Source organism: Homo sapiens, chromosome 6, assembly GCF_000001405.40.
Source record: "Homo sapiens chromosome 6, GRCh38.p14 Primary Assembly".
Taxonomy (NCBI): Eukaryota; Metazoa; Chordata; class Mammalia; order Primates; family Hominidae; genus Homo; species Homo sapiens.
This window is the reverse complement of record NC_000006.12, coordinates 76,513,414-76,531,081: the sequence shown is the minus strand read 5'-3', so window position 1 is coordinate 76,531,081 and position 17,668 is coordinate 76,513,414. Positions and strand designations below refer to the sequence as shown.

The 17,668-nt window shown below is 35.8% G+C and overlaps 1 long non-coding RNA gene across 1 annotated transcript in view; it reads left to right on the top strand.

The window, feature by feature from the left end:
- LINC02540 (long intergenic non-protein coding RNA 2540) overlaps positions 1-8,634 on the top strand; it is a 71,176-nt gene extending 62,542 nt beyond the window's left edge. Inside the window, exon 3 of the long non-coding RNA NR_149101.1 lies at positions 8,278-8,634. This is a non-coding gene — a long non-coding RNA (long intergenic non-protein coding RNA 2540). The remainder of the gene's footprint in view (positions 1-8,277) is intronic.
- Positions 8,635-17,668: the final 9,034 nt, after the last annotated feature.

Sequence of the window (17,668 nt, the reverse complement as noted above, 5' to 3'; positions counted from 1 at the left end):
GAAACATGGGATTATGTAGAGACCAAATCTATAATTCATTGGTGTCCCTGAAAAAGATAGGGAGAAAGCAAGCAACTTGAAAAACATATTTCAGGATATCATCCATGGAAACTTCTCCAACATCACTCGAGAGGCTAACACTCAAACTCAGGAAATGCTGAGAACCCATGTGAGATACTACAAAAGAAGATCACCCTGAAGACACATAATCATCAGATACTCCAAGGTCAAAATAAAAGAAAAAAGTGTTAAAGCCAGCTAGAGACAAAGGGCAGGTCACCTACAAATGAAACCCCATTAGGCTAACAGTAGACCTTTCAGCAAAAACCCTACAAGCCAGAAGAGATTGGGGGCCAATATTTAGCATTCTTAAAGAAAATAATTTTTTAAGCAAAAATTTCATACCCTGCCAAACTAATCTTCATAAGTGAAGGAAAAATAAGATTCTTTTCAGACAAGCAAATGCTAACAGAATTTGTTACAACCAGACCTGCCTTACAAAAGGTCCTGAAAGGAGTGCTAAGTATGGAAAGAAAAGAAAGTACCAGCCACTACAAAAACACACATAAGTATACAGACCACTGACACTATAAAGCAATCACACAAATAAGTATGCATAATATCCAGCTAACAACATGATGAAAGGATCAAATTCATATATGTCTATACTCACGTTGAATGTAGATGGCCTAAAATGCCCAAATTAAAAGACACAGAGTGGCAACTTGGATAATAAACAAGACCCAACAGTTCTGTCTTCAAGACACCCATTTCCCATGCAATGACACATATTATATAATGGTATTATGTAATGGTAGAGGGCCTGATTCAACAAAAAGACCTCATTAATCTAAATATATACACACCAACACAGGAGCTCCCAGATTCATGAAGCGAACTCTTCAAGACCTACAAAGAGACTTAGATTCCCACAGAATAATAGTGGGACATTTCAACACCTCACTGACAGTTTAGACAGATCATCAAGGCAGAATATTAACAAAGATATTCAGGACCTCAAATCAACACTTGACCAAATATATATATGAGGGGGGTTTATTAAGTATTAACTTACAAAATCACAAGGTCCCATGATAAGCTGTCTGTAAGCTGAGGAGCAAGGAGAGCTAGTCTGAGTCCCAAAACTGAAGAACTTGGAGTCCGATGTTTACAGCAGGAAGCATCCAGCACGGGAGAAAGATGTAGGCTGGGAACTAGGTCAGTCTCTCTTTGCACATTTTTCTGCCTGCTTATATTCTATCCATGCTGGCAGCTGATTAGATGGTGCCCACCCAGATTAAGGGTGGGTTTTCCTTTCCCAGCCCACTGACTCAATTGTTAATCTCTTTTGGCAACACCCTCACAGACAAACCCAGGATCAATACTTTGTACCCTTCAATCAAACCAAGTTAACAGTATTAACTGTCACACCACCCAAAACAATAGATTATCTCAGTATAAGCAGAAAACACTTTTGATAAAATTCAACATTTTTTCATGTTAAAAATGCTCAAGAAACTAAGCACCAAAGAAACATACTTCAAAATAATAAGAGCTATCTATGACAGACACATAGCCAACATCATACTGACTGAGTAAAAGCTTGAAGCACTCTCTTGAAAACTGGCACAAGACAAGGGTGCCCTCTCTTTTCACTCCTATTTAACATAGTATTGGAAGTCTCGGCCAGGTCAGTTAGGCACAAGGAAGAAATAAAAGGCATCCTGATAGGAAGAGAGGAAGTCAAACTATCCCTGTATACAGATTACATGATTCTATATCTAGAAATCATAATCTCTGCCCAAAAGCTCCTTGATCTGATAAACAACTTCAACAAAGTTTCAGAATACAAAATGAACATACAAAGATCAGTAGCATCCCTATACATCAACAAGATCTAAGCCAGGAGCTAAATCAGGATTGCAATTCCATTAACAATTGACACAAAAAGAATATAATACCTAGGAATGCAGCTAACCAGGAAGGTGAAAAGAGGTGACAAAAACAAGTGGAAAAACACAATGACATACCATCTCACACCAGTCATAATGGTCATTATTAAAATGTGAAAAAATAACAGATGCTGGCAAGGTAGCAGAGAAAAGAGAAAGTTTATACACTTTTGGTAGGAGTGTAAATTAGTTCAGCCATTATGGAAAGCAGTGTGTCGATTCCTCAAAGAACTTAGCATTTGACCCAGTAATCGCACTATTAAGTATATACCGAAAGGAATCTAACTCATTGTACCATAAAGACACATGCACGTGTATGTTCATTGCAGCACTATTCACAATAGCAAAGACATGGAATCAACCTAAATGCACATGAACAATAGACTTGATAAAGAAAATGTGGTATGTGTACCACATGCACCATGGAATATGTACCACATACACCATGGAATAGTATACAGCCATAAAAAGAATGAGATCATGTCTTGTGCAGCAACATGAATGGAGATGGAGGCCATTACCTTAAGCAAATTAATGCAGGATCAGAAAACCAAATACTATATGTTCTCACTTATAAGTGGGAGCTGAACAACAAGAACACATGGACACAAAGAGGGAAACAACAGACACTGGGGCCTATTTGAGGGTGGAGGGTGGGAGAAGGGAGAGGATCAGAAAAATTACCTATCAGATACTATGTCTGTCACCTAGATGGTGAAATAATCTGTACACCAAAGCCCCAGGACCTGCAGTTCACCTATAAAACAAACCTGCACATGTACCCTGTACCTAAAAGTTTAAAAACAATGTGATATATGTACACAATGGAATTCTATTCAGCCATAAAAAAGAGTTAAATCATATCATTTGGAGCAATATGGATGGATCTAGAGGTTATTATCATAGTGAAATAAGCCAGACACAAAAGGATAAATACCTCATGCTGTTAACTTACATGTGAGAGTTAAAAATGTGATCACATGGAGGTAGATAGTGGAAAGATAGATAACTGAGACTGGGAAAGGTGAGTGTGCGGGGACAGTATGAGGAATGACAAAGAGAAACTCTGTTAAAAGTACAAATATACAGTGGGAAGAAATAAATTTAATATTTGATGGTACAGTAGGGTGATTATAGCTAATAAAAGTGTGTTGTACTCAGGTGATGGACACTCTAAATACCTTCACTTGATCACTACACATCATGTATGTGTAACCAAGTGCCCCATAAATTTGTACAAATAAAAAATTCAATTAAAAGATTAAGAAAAAAATGGTGAGCTTTTCCATTCAGTTGCAAATTTGACTTAGAAAGAAACTATGTTTGCCATAATCTGAAAAGTTTAACACGCTGCTTATAACACAGACACCGTGCTTATAACACAGACACTGAATTGGTGATTCTAAATAATTCTAACACTGCTCATCAGGTACTATGTTAATAACAGACAATCTCCAAACGTTCTGACTCAGTTTGGGATGACATAGTATTTTAAGTTTGGAACATGTTTTGAAAATAATGTAACAGTTTAACATCTTATGTGCCAATAGCTACAGATACTTATACTGATTTTTAAAAAAATATTGTTTGATTTCATTGAACAACATAATTTGAAATTATAACCAAAATATATGAATATATTTTGGAAAATATATAGACTTGGAAAGGAAATTGACTTAGCTAAGCATATTCATTCAGGTTGAGCTTCTAACACTGGTAGGTTTTTATTGTAGTCCAATTATTTATTTCTATGAAATACATGTACGATAAATTTAAGTGGCATTGAAAGTTAGATTCAAATAGCTGTGGTTTAACCAATAGTAAAATGAAAGTTTTTCATTCCTCTTTCCAACTCTGTCCCCATAGGCAATAGCCTACAATTGATGTGGTTGATCATGTCAATAATAACCCAATTGAGAACAACTGAAATGTTCCTTTGACATGCACTACAATTCAACTCAATTATTCTATATTTTTAAAATTTGTATGGAGAAAAGGGAAAATATCTTATGCTTTCTATATGCCACTGAATCTGTCTAAAAGTTAAGCAAAATTATTTTTCCCTGTCATAGAACTTTGCTATTCGGTTCCCATATGAAGTCAAACATAATTTTTAGCACTGGCATGCTTTATAATTTAGACTGTAGAAAAGCAATTACCTTGTTTCATCTCCTCTGTGTTTTGGGGGAAGAGTTTAGTCACTATTTTACTTAAATAATAACACTAGTGTCTTTACTAGTATTCTCATCAATTAGCAATTCAGGTAGATGGCTCTCTCTTTTTTAAATTCTGAAATCTCGTGTTAACTCATTTCAGCACTGTTTTGTTTGGCTGCCAGTATATAAAAATGGATTATTAATATAAATATTCATGGTAATATTCTTTGAATATGAGTTATCTGAATTGGATAAAACTTTGGTTTCCTTGCTGTCTGAGCTAGCTAATAATAAATAAATTAGGGAGTGTTTTATTTGGGTACCTCAGTTTTCTGTTTCTATATAATCAATCTTTATGTGATGGAAGCTGAAAATGCTGTTTTAAGAAATATTGCAGATAATTTAACTAGCTCATATTTTAGAACCAACACCGGTTGATTATGATCACTCACTCTGTAGTGGGAACTTCTATAGTTACGTGAAGGAGGTTTCATGTTTTTGTCGGAGTCAGATTTTTAGCTATGGTACAGGAAATTTTTAAAAAAATACTTATCAATTACAGAGAGAATCTATTCATTTTTTCTCTAATAACAAATATAACTGAAAACTGCAATCAATCATTGCCTTTTAAATTGTTATTATCGACATCTTTTTTTTTTTTCTTTTTTTGAGATGGAGCCTTGCTCTGTCGCCCAGGCTGAAGTGCAGTGGCGCGATCTCGGCTCACTGCATGCCCCGCCTCCCAGGTTCACGCCATCCTCCTGCCTCTGCCTGCCGAGTAGCTGGGACTACAGGTGCCTGCCACCACACCCAGCTAATTTTTTGTATTTTTAGTAGAGACGGGGTTTCACCATGTTAGCCAGGATGGTCTCCATCTCCTGACCTGTGATCCACCCACCTTGGCCTCCCAAAGTGTAGGGATTACAGGCGTGAGCCACTGCGCCCGGCCTAGATCTTTTAAATTATTACATGTTTTTAAATAATATTAATGAAATATCAAATTTATCAGTAAACCCTTTCCATTCAAATTTATTAACCTATAATAAATTACACAAGAATAGCTGAAAATTTATTTTTAGCTGGAAAAGAATCAATGGAAGACCATGAATTTGTGTAATTAGTAATGGCAACTGAGTTTATATTCCTTTGTAGATTAGCTTACATTTAAGTTGTGCAAGATCCATTGTTTTGCTATAACATTCATCAATACTTGTGAGAAATGATGAATGGAAATAAAAACCTAAAATAAATACTTATCAAATTTTAAAACAATATTCTGAAAGAACTTCTGATTTTAAAATATTTTATGTCCGTCATCATTTTCTAGGACTTTGTTCTCAGTAGTCTCCATTTTTTCTGTAGATGTATGTGCTAAATTTCTACAATTACCATACTCTGTTCTTCTCTATATGAGTATCTTTTGCCATGTGACATCATAGCTTCTCTTACGAAGAAGTCCATAAATCTCCACCCCTTCAATCTGAGATGATTCTGTGGTGGCACATACAATACAGTAAAAATAATAGTGTAGCAGTTCAAAGACCAGACCTCCAGAGTCCTTGCATGCTTCCTTTCCTCTTGATACTCTGCCCAGCCACCATGTGAACAAGCCTGGGATAGTCTCCTGGATGATAAGAGATTGTGTGAACCAGGACAGAGTCTATCTAGTTGTCTTATAAAAGCCCTCCGACATATGAGAAAGCCCAGCCAAGATCACCAAAGCTGCTGATCACATCTTGACTAAAAATGTCTGAAGGAGCTCATCCAAGAAGAAAAATTGTCCAACTGAGCCCAGCCTAATTTGACATCCAGCAAAATCATAAGCTAAATAAATGGTTTTAAGCTGGTAAGTTTTGAGATGGTTTATTTCATAGTAGCATCTATTTGATGCAATTAGACATTGCAAAGTCTAATACATTAGGGTTCTGAATGGATATGTCACTATGAAATAGCATTCTTAACATATTTTTTCACTAAGGATAATTCTTGTGTAAAATGTCAAAAGGCTATGCTTTTTTTCTTGCCATTATCTAGAATTATGCACACTAAAGTATGTTGCAATTGTTTCACTGAAAATCATAGGAACATTCTCTGCTATTCGGTTCCCATATGAAGTCTTCGTTTTCTCTATTTATCTGTACTTCCATTCTGTTTTTCTTCTCTCTCTCACATAAAAGAACTCATTGCTCCAATAAACACTACACTACAGAGGTAGTTTACTCCTTCCTTTGGCAAATTAGGTTATTTACTGATTTATATAGAAATTTATCAGAACCCTATTTCCCAGACTTTCTCTCAAAACATTTAGTACAAGAATTTAACAATGTGCCACTTTGTGTATTCTGCCTTCCATTATTTATTAGGAATTCAATCAACTGTTCAGAAATGATGATGGAAAGTTCCTATGGCTTTCTATTATTTACACTTAATGAAGCAATCTGAATGGAACAGAGATTGCCACTCTTTTGATTTCAAATGGTTTTCCAGCAATTTCCATAAAATTATATTGCCTGAATATACAAGAGCTCTCAGGAACTATTTACTTCATTGAGACATATTTTAGAACATGTTCTTTCCTAGTCTTTTTCTATTGTCTTGTACATTTAGTTATCTCAATATACTATCATAAAAATGAAATCTTCAAATGGTATACAATTGTATAGAAAACATTCCAGTTCAATCATATTATTACATGCTTATTTTCTTTATATACAAAAACTATTTGAGGAATCAAACTGAATTTTCTTGGCCATAACTTTTAATCTTAGGTTACTAAGTTTTGCTAAATAATAGGTACCATGGAAGACTCTCTCAGTGAAATGGTTCTAAATGGTTGCTGAGCCCCAGCTAAAAAGAAGAACATATATTTGGATATATTGATTTTTCTAACCAATAATTCTGAGCAAATACTTAGTATTCTGCATATTACTAGTTACTAGGAATAAAAAGAGAATTTTTTCTTTGAGATGCTCACGATATGTGAGAGAAGATAATATGCACCAATAAAAAGTGTCATACTATAAAGAGATTAATAAAAATTAGAAATAGTAAAGAAAATGGAGTAAATCTTCCTGATAAGTTGAAAAACCTTTACGAAAGAAGACACTTTAGGCTAGATAAGTCAAAGAAATGTTCAGATTTACAAGCAGAGGAATTATTTCAATAGCTCCCTATTCATCTCATTGGTGAGAGAGGTTTTCTTGCCCTATGGTTGTAGGAACAATTGCATATATATTCCCAACACTGGACAAATTAGATCAACAGCAGCTATTAGTCACATACACTCACATCTAGGAGGAAGGGGACACTGCACCACACAGGGATTGTGCATAGGAACAGAGTGAGCAGCCAGGGGTCATGGAAGACTGGCTTTGTGGCATCAAGAGGGTGGGGTACTCCTGTTTCCTGTAGGACAATGTGATTTCCTTATTTGAATAATTTCATAGCTGTTGGGAAACTGAACTCACAATACAGAGATGAACCAGAATTATGCCTGATCCTTTGATAGATAGGGTTGGTTATCTAGGGGGCCTTATCTGTGGAGTCAGAATGTAGAGGGGAACTTGCGGTTAGGACATTCAAGCCCTCCTGATTTTACCAGATATCAAGGTAGCACATAATTCTGAGTATTAATTTTAAGTCTTACACCACAGAAATGAATTGACAAGACCCAGAATTCTAAATATTCTTGCTATTTTATGAAAATGGTGAAAAATTCAGCTGCAGGACATGGATGGGAAGGAGACAGGATGGAAAGTTTTACACATATATTTAATGTGTCTGACAGATTTTTATGAAAACAGTAATTCTATATGTCTCCTTCAAAACTGTATATCCAGAATCTAGACAAATAATTGATATTGTAGGAATTCTTGAAAAGTGTTTGGAATCAATTAATAAAAAAATTTTGTGGCAAACTTTTTTTGGCACTGAGATGCGCAGGTAAATAAAACCTGCCCCTTTTCTAATAGGCATACTGTCTAGAAAACATAGAATAAAATACTGTCAAGTTAAGCTAATTATTAAAAGCATACACAAATATTATGTTGGGGACAGATTTTTACAGACACTGTAGGCTAAAATACAGGTTTACATTTAATTCCCTAGTCAATGGTGAAATTAGAGAAGTTTTTAAACATTATAATGACATAATTATATTTGTTATTTAGGTAGAAAACCCTGATGGTGAAAGCAAGTTTTAACTGAAATGAGAAGAAACTGAAAGTTACATTACCATGGCTTTTATGAGTCAAAGAAGAGACATTATGGGTATGTGAACTAAAATAATGACATTTGGCATGGGGAAAGTGATAGATACAGTAATTTCAATTTTCTGCAAGATAGAGAACACACAGAGAAGTAGTGATTGATATACAGTATGAGAATCCATCCCCTATGATGTGTGCAAAGGAAATTAATATGACTGGCTAGACCCTGGAAACGTTTAATACTATAAATCACCGGTGTGAAAAAAAAGGTGGGTATGAAAATTGGAATAATTGGATAATAAATACTAAACAATGAAACTTTCCACTTCAGTGTACAGAATGCCTGGCAGGCAAGGATTTATCCCGTTAGCCAAATAAAAGAAAGAAATCACAAAAAAACAACAACAATGTGTTTATCTTCAAACTGGTCTATCAGTATTAACATGCATTTTTGCCTTAGTATATGCCCACATTCTGAAATTTGAGATGTTGCCACTTCTGGGAAAGTCAGCAGAAGACAGACAGCAGACAAAATCTCTAAAAATAATATTTTTAATTAAAAATGTACATGCAGACGGGCATGGTGGCTCGCACCTGTAATCCCAGCACTTTGGGAGGCTGAGGCGGGCAGATCACAAGGTCAGGAGTTCAAGACCAGCCTGGCCAATAGGGTGAAACCCTGTCTCTACTAAAAATACAAAAATTAGCCGGGCATGGTGGCAGGCGCCTGTAGTCCCAGCTACTCGGGAGGCTGAGGCAGGAGAATAGCTTGAATCTGGGAAGCAGAGGTTGCAGTGAGCCAAGATCGTGCCATTGCACTTCAGCCTGGGCAACAGAGCGAGACACCATCTCAAAAAAAAAAATGCAAAAATACCAAACATTAAAGATATTGGACACTATAAATAAAAAAGATTAAACAAAAAATGACTGCAGATTCAAAAATTACAATCCAGGGAAAAGCACCAACTTAGAAGAGTTTAACATCCAACTAATAAGAACATAGAGTGAGAAAACAGAGGGAAGAAATTTTCAAAGAAATAATAGAAAACAATATTATAGATCTGAAGTTCCATGTGAGTCTTTAGATAAGTGCCAAGCATGTGAGTTGTAAATTGAATAATAAAAATCAAGACATCAATGCAAATTATTGTAAATTTAAAAGCATCACATATAAATAAAAAGTTCAAATGCTCTCAGAGAGAAAAAAAATTCGGTGATTTATAATGGATCATGGATCAGAATAACATAAAACTTCTTATCAACAACCATAAGTACTAGGGGTCATGAGGAAAAGGAATCAAGGGTGTCTTCATTCCACATTTCTCTGAGGTTGGGTCTTCTGCTCTGGCCACAGAATATGACTGTGTCATTCACTGATTGTCCTTTATTTCTCTATCATCAGTCATTTTTTTTATTTCAACTTTTATTTTAGATATAGAGGATATGTGTGCAAGTTTGTTACATGGATATATTGCACCCAGGTAGTGAGTGTAGTACCCAACAGTTTTTCAACCCATACCCAACAGTTTCCAAGTGAAGAATTAAATTAAGAACTCAACCCCTTTTACAATAGCTGCAAAAAAATAAAATAAATAAAATACTCAGGAATATACCTAACCAAGGAGTCAAAAAACCTCTACAAGGAAAACTACAAAACACTGCTGAAAGAAATCACAGATGACATGAACAGATGGAAACACATCCCATGCCCATGGATAAGTATGGTCAATATTGTGAAAATGAACATACTGCCAAAAGCAATCTATAAATTCAATGCAATCCCCATCAAAATACTGCCATCATTCTTCACAGCATTCTTCACAGAACTAGAAAAAACAACTCTAAAATTCATATGGAACCAAAAAAGAGCCCACATAGCCATAGCAAGACCAAGCAAAAAAAAAAAAAAAAAAAAAAAACTAAAACAAATCTAGAGGCATTATATTACCTGACTTCAAACTATACTATAAAGCCATAGTCACCAAAACAGCATGGTACTGGTACAAAAATAGGCACATACACCAATGGAACAAAATAGAGAACCCAGAAATAAACGCAAATATTTATGGCCAACTGATCTTCAACAAAGCAAACAAAAACATAAAGTGGGGAACAGACACCCTCTTCAACAAATGCTGCTGGATAATTGGCTAGCTACATGTAGGAGAATGAAACTGGATCCTTATCTGTCACCTTATACAAAAATCAACTCAAGATGGATTAAGGACTTACACATAAGATCTGAAAGTATAAAAATTTTCAAAGATAACATTGGAAAAACCCTTCTAGATATTGGCTTAGGCAAGGATTTTATGAACAAGAACCCAAAATCAAATGCAATACAAACAAAGATAAATAGCTGGGACCTAATTAAAATAAAGAGCTTTTGCACGGCAAAAGGAACAGTCAGCAGAGTAAACAGACAACCCACAAAGTGGGAGAAAATCTTCACAATCTATACATCTGACAAAGGAGTAACATCCAGAATCTACAACAAACTCAAACAAATCAGTAAGAAAAAAACAAACAGTCCCATCAAAAAGTGGGCCAAGGACATGAATTGACAATTATCACCAGTCTTGAAATTAATTTTTAAGAACTCTCAGAATCTGACAATACGGTAACACTATCTGTATTTTCAGTGATGAGTTTTCATCTTTTCATTGTTTTCACAGGGACTTAGAGGAAGAGTTGGGAGAATTCCTAGGTATCCATTTTAAATCAGATGCCTAAATAAAGCACATTATAAAATGCTAGCTCAAATAACATAGTTCAGCAGGGTTTTCTAGTCTCCCTTTATTGCCCTCCATTGGCAGAACCTAACAGGAAGAGAGCTGATAAGCACTCTTGCCAGCAATATATTTGCAATATATTTTGCAAAGTCCCAGCCCCATCATCACAAAACAGAATAGAGAAGGGTGAATTTGGAGCTGAGAGACAATAGCTAATGGCAGTCTATCTTTTTGGCTACTTTGCACCTTTACACATATAACAACAACAGCTTTATGCTTTATAAGATAAGATGTAACTATCCTTCACACAAATTAAAATACTTTCATTTTTAAATACTCTCCCCCGAAAAGCAGACGCAGTGTCCCAACTGTCATTCTGTTCATTTCTAATAGACTGCTTCAGTGTCAATATCTGGGCAATGTCAATTCTCCTCTAATTCTGTCAACATTTCATGAGTATTGAGAAACTTAAAAACTTAATTGTAAAATTAACCATCAACAACAATCTTTATGTAAAATTAGAAGATGAAAGAAGGGAGAAAAAATTAGTTCATATGTATACACATATGATAATCACAGAAGGAAATATGTACAGCTGTAGTAGTCTTAATTCTGTAGCTTGCCATGAGTATAGTTGATATGTATAACCTCCTTCTTTCACAAACCATTCTGTATTCCCTTTGTAGCTGGCCAGCACCTTAGTAGGTTGAAAATATCTACTTGGTCATTTAAGACACTAAAGCGTCTGAAACCTCAGTGTCTTGCAAATTTTGGATTATTTTGATTTTCCATTAATATTTATTAATACATATGGCACCCCAGAGGACTCCCTTGGGTCCATAGGTAGTGCTCCCTGACCCATTGTATAGCCACAATAGTATTTCCCCTTGATAACTTGGACCCATCACTTCATCCAATATTGTAACTCACTAAAATAGTCAGGTGAAAGTCTCAACTTCCATTTTAACGGAACCATTGTGCATTGACTGGTGGAAGCATTATTTTTTTTCCCTTGGGAACCAAGACCTTTGAATCAGCAATGCTCAAAGTTACAGAGATGAGAAGCAAAAGTTCTGCAGGTAGGTTAAGGATAATAGTGAAGGAAGCCACTCTCATTCCACCCTGGGAAAAAAGGAGCTAAAGTTGCCAAGTGATCAATTTCTCTGTCAGTTGCAAAGATGAGGGGGAATAATACCCAAGGGAAAGAAAGAAGACAGACAGCTGTGGTCTAATCAACTTACAAACAAGTTGATATCTCACTATCTTGGTAAATAAACTAATGACATTAAATAGAAAGAAAATCTTTATGGATACTTTTTAAAGGATTTCCTTGTCTTTGGTTTAGAGTTGCTTATGGTATGCCAACTTATGAATTCATGAGTCATGGCTTCCTAAAGAATGACACAGACTTCTCCTGCTTCATCTGTGCCTTTTGATTGTTTGTACCCTTGAATTTATTAGTAAAGCATGTTACTGGGTAATATCTCTGAGCCTGATTAGATAATTCAATTCTTTGTGTTAGTTTACATCCCTTGATTCTTGGACTCATGTATTACATGTATTACATGGGAGAAATAGCACCATATATTGATCACTAATTCAAAGACAATACTACAATCAGCAAAGTAGATCTACATAAACAAATTCATTTTTAGAGTGGAAAACTATTAATAGATGTTTTCTACGAAACAGAATTAAATTTGTAATACATTAAACTGGAAAATTTTAGATACAGTAGTAAAACGCAATTCCTATTCTATTTCTCTTAAATTTAACATTAAAAAATAGAAGTAGCACAATGTATCTTCTATGCAGGGAGAATAGCTGACAGCAAGTGCTATGCCCTAGGACATGACTGTTCAAATCCTCTGGGGTTATTTTCTACAAAACTTGTCTAAAAATGAAGATTCTGACATTATTGAGGCAAAACCAAATGGCAGGTATAGATTTTGAAAAATGGTCACCTGTCACCCATCAGTTCTTCCCAGGAGCAACACATGACTTAGGTCAAGGGTCTGTTGATGTGTCCAAGTATTGCTCAAGGTAAAACATGCTTCTTATTAATGAATGGATAACTCATTGGAGTTATAATTAAATTGACCAAATTAGCAATCACATCACACATGAACATGAATAACTATGGCTTAATTGGATCTGCTGATATTAAAAACATTAATCAGTTTATCACTGAGAAATTTTAATGAAAAATTTTCCTAGTGCTATATCTGGTTAACCATAGGGATATAGACTGGTACTGTCCTTTGTTTCTCTCAGGCAGTGGCTTTTACCTAAATTAAACATCCGACTAGGAGAAAGCTAGAGGAAAATTATGTTACAGAAAGTGGTGTAGCAGGACTTATCTTGACAAGGAGGTTTCTCAAATTGAAATCAATGTTGGTTTGTACACCTTGAATGATTATCTATCTTTGTACTAATACCTAAGGATTTATGTGAGAAGAACAAATCAACACTGCTTAGGTTGACATTGATTCTATTGTCAAATCTGTGGCTAAGAAGCACAATAGAAGATCTCCTGCCTCAGTATTATTCTCTATAGTATAAAGAAAAAAATATAGTCCCAGCTACTCGGGAGGTTGAGGCAGGAGAATGGCGTGAACCCGGGAGGTGGAGCTTGCAGTGAGCCGAGATTGCGCCACTGCACTCCAGCCTGGGCAACAGAGAGAGACTCTGTCTCAAAAAAAAAAAAAAAAAAAAAAAAAATCCACAGGATCTCCGTGTCTGTCTTGGTCAAGGTTTAGGACAAGAAACAAGACATTATATTTTAAAGCAGGAAGCAATTTAATCATGGAATTACATACCTAAATATCGTAAGAACCAGATTCTAGACTGGAACTCTCAGAATGAATACCAGAACAATGTGAAGCCAATGCCCTGAAATCATCACCATACAGAAATTGAAACCAAGAATGCATATCAGCCACCAATGCTTCTCACACTCAGAATAAAAAATAAAATAAAACTTGAAACTCAACCCTAGGGTTTAGGAAGAAGGAGCAAGAACCATCACCACTGCCATCACTGCTTCTTTACGCCTGAAAGCTAGAGACAGACCCCATGGAGGCAAGCAAACGTGTCCATTTGCTGGTCAGCAGCAAAGCCAGGAACATCAGGCATGTGGCCTCCAACTCACTTCTGCCTTTTGAATACTACATAACTGTATCTAAATGGTGGAAACTAATTCACAAGAAACCTAGTTGCAAGAGAATTTGGGAAAGGTCATTTTCAGCTTTCCAACTTCTCCAACAAGAAGGATATAAAATAGAAGTTGAGTAGGACAATCCAAAGTAGTCAAAGAAAATCAAAGAATGTCAGGAATTTTATGATAAATGAAAGAAAAATAAACATCTGTTCTCATCTAAAAAGAAAACTAATAACCTAATTATCATATAACTGAAGTTATAGGTTTACAGGCAGCATCATTTGCTTAACAGCATCAACAAAAAGATAAATATTTAAAAGAAAGAGAATAATAAACATAAAAAAAACAGATCCTATGATTTCATGTGCCTGGTTACCCTATTACATTTACAGGGAGTTTACCTTTACTACTCCAGGGAAAGATTATCTTGTAAAAAGTTAATCAGAGCAGATTTAAAAGAGCTAAGTGGACCATATGATATGAATTTAGCAGCTTCTCTACTACCCAATGCGGGACTAGCAAATTGATTATCTTTGTCATGTTTTTAAATAACTGCTGCTTCTTTACATATGATTTTTTTATTTCTAGTTTTTTTTTTGTCTTTTTTATTGATTAGTCTTACCAGAAGTTATTTTCATTCTATTTTTAAAGAATTGGTCTTATCTTTGTTCATCCTTTCAAGGATATATTTGTTTTCTATTTGTTAATTTATTTTATGGTATTAAAATTTTTCTTTTTATTATTTTACTTTGGGTTTATTTTTTTCTTCCTTAAGATAGAAAATATTTCTATAACATTTTCTAGTTTTTTTCTCAAATTGATTTCTTAGCCTCTATTTTCCACCCTCATTCCTTAGGAAAAAAAATTAATATTTTAATCCTATAAGTTGTCCATTTATATATGCTTTGACAAGTAGAATTATTATTATTTTTCAAATTTAAATATTTTCTAATTTACCTGTTTATTTTTCCCTTGACCCACTGTTACTGAAACTCTAGAGGTTTCATTTAGGTCCTGCTGCTCACTGCAGAGAAAGCCAATCACTGAGACAATGAGTATTGCCAGGGAAGAAGGCTTTACTTAGGTGCTGTAGGTGAGGAAATGGGAGATCAGCTAGGGAGGGGTAAGGAAGAATAATTGGCTAACAGTAAGCAGGTAATCAGTTAGGCATTAATGGCAGGTGAGGGGTCTGGCCATCTCATTGTCCATATTTGGTTATCAGTAAGTTTCAGTTCCTTGATACCATCTGGGAGGCCTGAAACTTGGTTTCCTGAGAAAAGAACTCAGATAAGACAAATGTAACAATTGTAAGTCTGGGAGGGTCAATTCCTATGTTTATTCAAAATAAATAATAAACATCAGTTCTATGGGACAATTAGGCCAGTTCCACCATGATCATTTGAAATATGCCTTTTAAATATCTGAATATACAGAATAAGACCACTTTTGTAATTTATTTCTAGTATATATAAATTTATTTCCATTTTTATAACTCAAAAATGGCAGTGTATTTCTTCTGTCTATAACTGTATTTCAATCGGACAACAATGATGTATAATACTTGCATTTTATTATTTATTCAGCTTATAGCCTTTTATGTCATCAATTTTTGCAAAATGTTTACAAAATTTGTAAAGCATGTTTATTCTTCAGTTTTGGAGCACATGGTGCTATATATGTCCACTAGACCAAACCTGCTAATGGAGCTGTTTAAATCTTAAATCCTTCTTGATTTTTAAAAAATAATTTAATCTAGATTTTTTATAAGAATGTAATAATGGATATATCTATTTTCCCTGGAGTTATGTAGATTTTGCTTTATATATTTTAAAGCTATATGTATTGAAACTTTTTTTCCAAAATAGTACCCTCTTTTTATCTTTTAAGATTTTTGCTTTAAAATCTGTTTTGTAAAGTATTAGTATGGTTCCAATGGCCATCTTTAGTTGATTTATACCTGATGTACATTTTTTAAACCACTTATGTTGAACCCTCCTTTCATGTCATATTTCAGCTGTATCTCACATAAAGCAGTTTAATTGATGTTTGACAATCAATGTCTTTTATTAAGGGAGTTAAGACCACTTACAAATGATTATGCTGATCTCCAGGATTTCAATTCTAGCTTGATTTTAACCCCCCAAACTAGATATGTTTATTATTATTATTATATAACAAATGTTTGTTCAGTTTACTCAGAAACTTGCCATTTTATTTGTTGACATTTCCTTCTAGTATACCAGATCTGTGATCTTTTCTCCCCTGTAAAGGGTAAAAGTTCCTTTAGGGAGAATTTGTTGGTAACGAACACTCTCAGTATTTGCTGTCTGACAATACCTTTATTCCAGTGTCATGATGATATGGGCAGAAGGCAGGAGGGTGGGATTCCTAGTGAGGGCTCCACCCTTAAACTTGGACCCGTGGCCCTAAATGAATTCTCACACCTGATATGGTTTGGCTCTGTGTCCCTACCCAAATGTCATCTTGAATTGTACTCCCATAATCCCCAGGTGTTGTGGAAGGGACTTGGTGGGAGATAATCTGAATCATGGGGGTGGTTTCCCCCATACTGTTCTGGTGGTAGTGAATAAGTCTCATGAGATCTGATGGTTTTACCAGGGGTTTCCACTTTTGCATCTTCCTCATTTTCTCTTGCCCCCACCATGTAAGAAGTGCCTTTTGCCTCCCGCCATGATTCTGAGGCCTCCCCAGCCATGTGGAACTATAAGTCCAATTAAACATCCCTTTCTTCCCAGTCTCAGGTATGTCTTTATCAGCAGCATGAAAACAAGTTAATACAGCATCTGAATGTTGCCTTTTCCAAGACAACTCTGGTCCACCCCACCCCCATCCTCCTGCCCATAAGAACCCCAAACCCCAAGCTCCATGAGCAGAAGAGTGGCAGAGAGGCAGAGCAGCAGAGAAGGTAAGAAGGAAGAAGCATCTGAATGACAAGAGGAGTTCAGCTGGGGACAATGTGAGAGGAGTCCGGCCAGTGACTACCGAACTCCAGGGGAAGAATATCTTCACACTCCATCCCCTTTCCAGCTCCCCATTCCCCTGAGAGCCACCTCCATCACTCAGTAAAACGTCCACATTGACCATCCTTCAAGTCCATATTACCTGATTCTTCCTGGATGCCAGACAAGGACCTGGGTACCAAGAGGGCAGGGTGTAAAAGGCTGTCACCCTGACTCTCCACTGAGCTGGTTAACACTTAGCCCTCCACGGATGGCAACTGCTAAAAGAGTATTAATTGTAACACACCCCTAGATACTACAGTGGGGTCGGAGCCCAAAAGCACTAGCCCCAGCCCCAGCCCCCGAATGCTCCCTTTCACCTGCATGCTCCACCTCCTTCAAGGGGTTTGAGTGCAGTGGCCGAACAAAATGAGCCATCACCCAGGACAAGTCCCACAAAGGGGTCCAGGGAAGTCTTCCATCTCAATTATTGAAGGGTA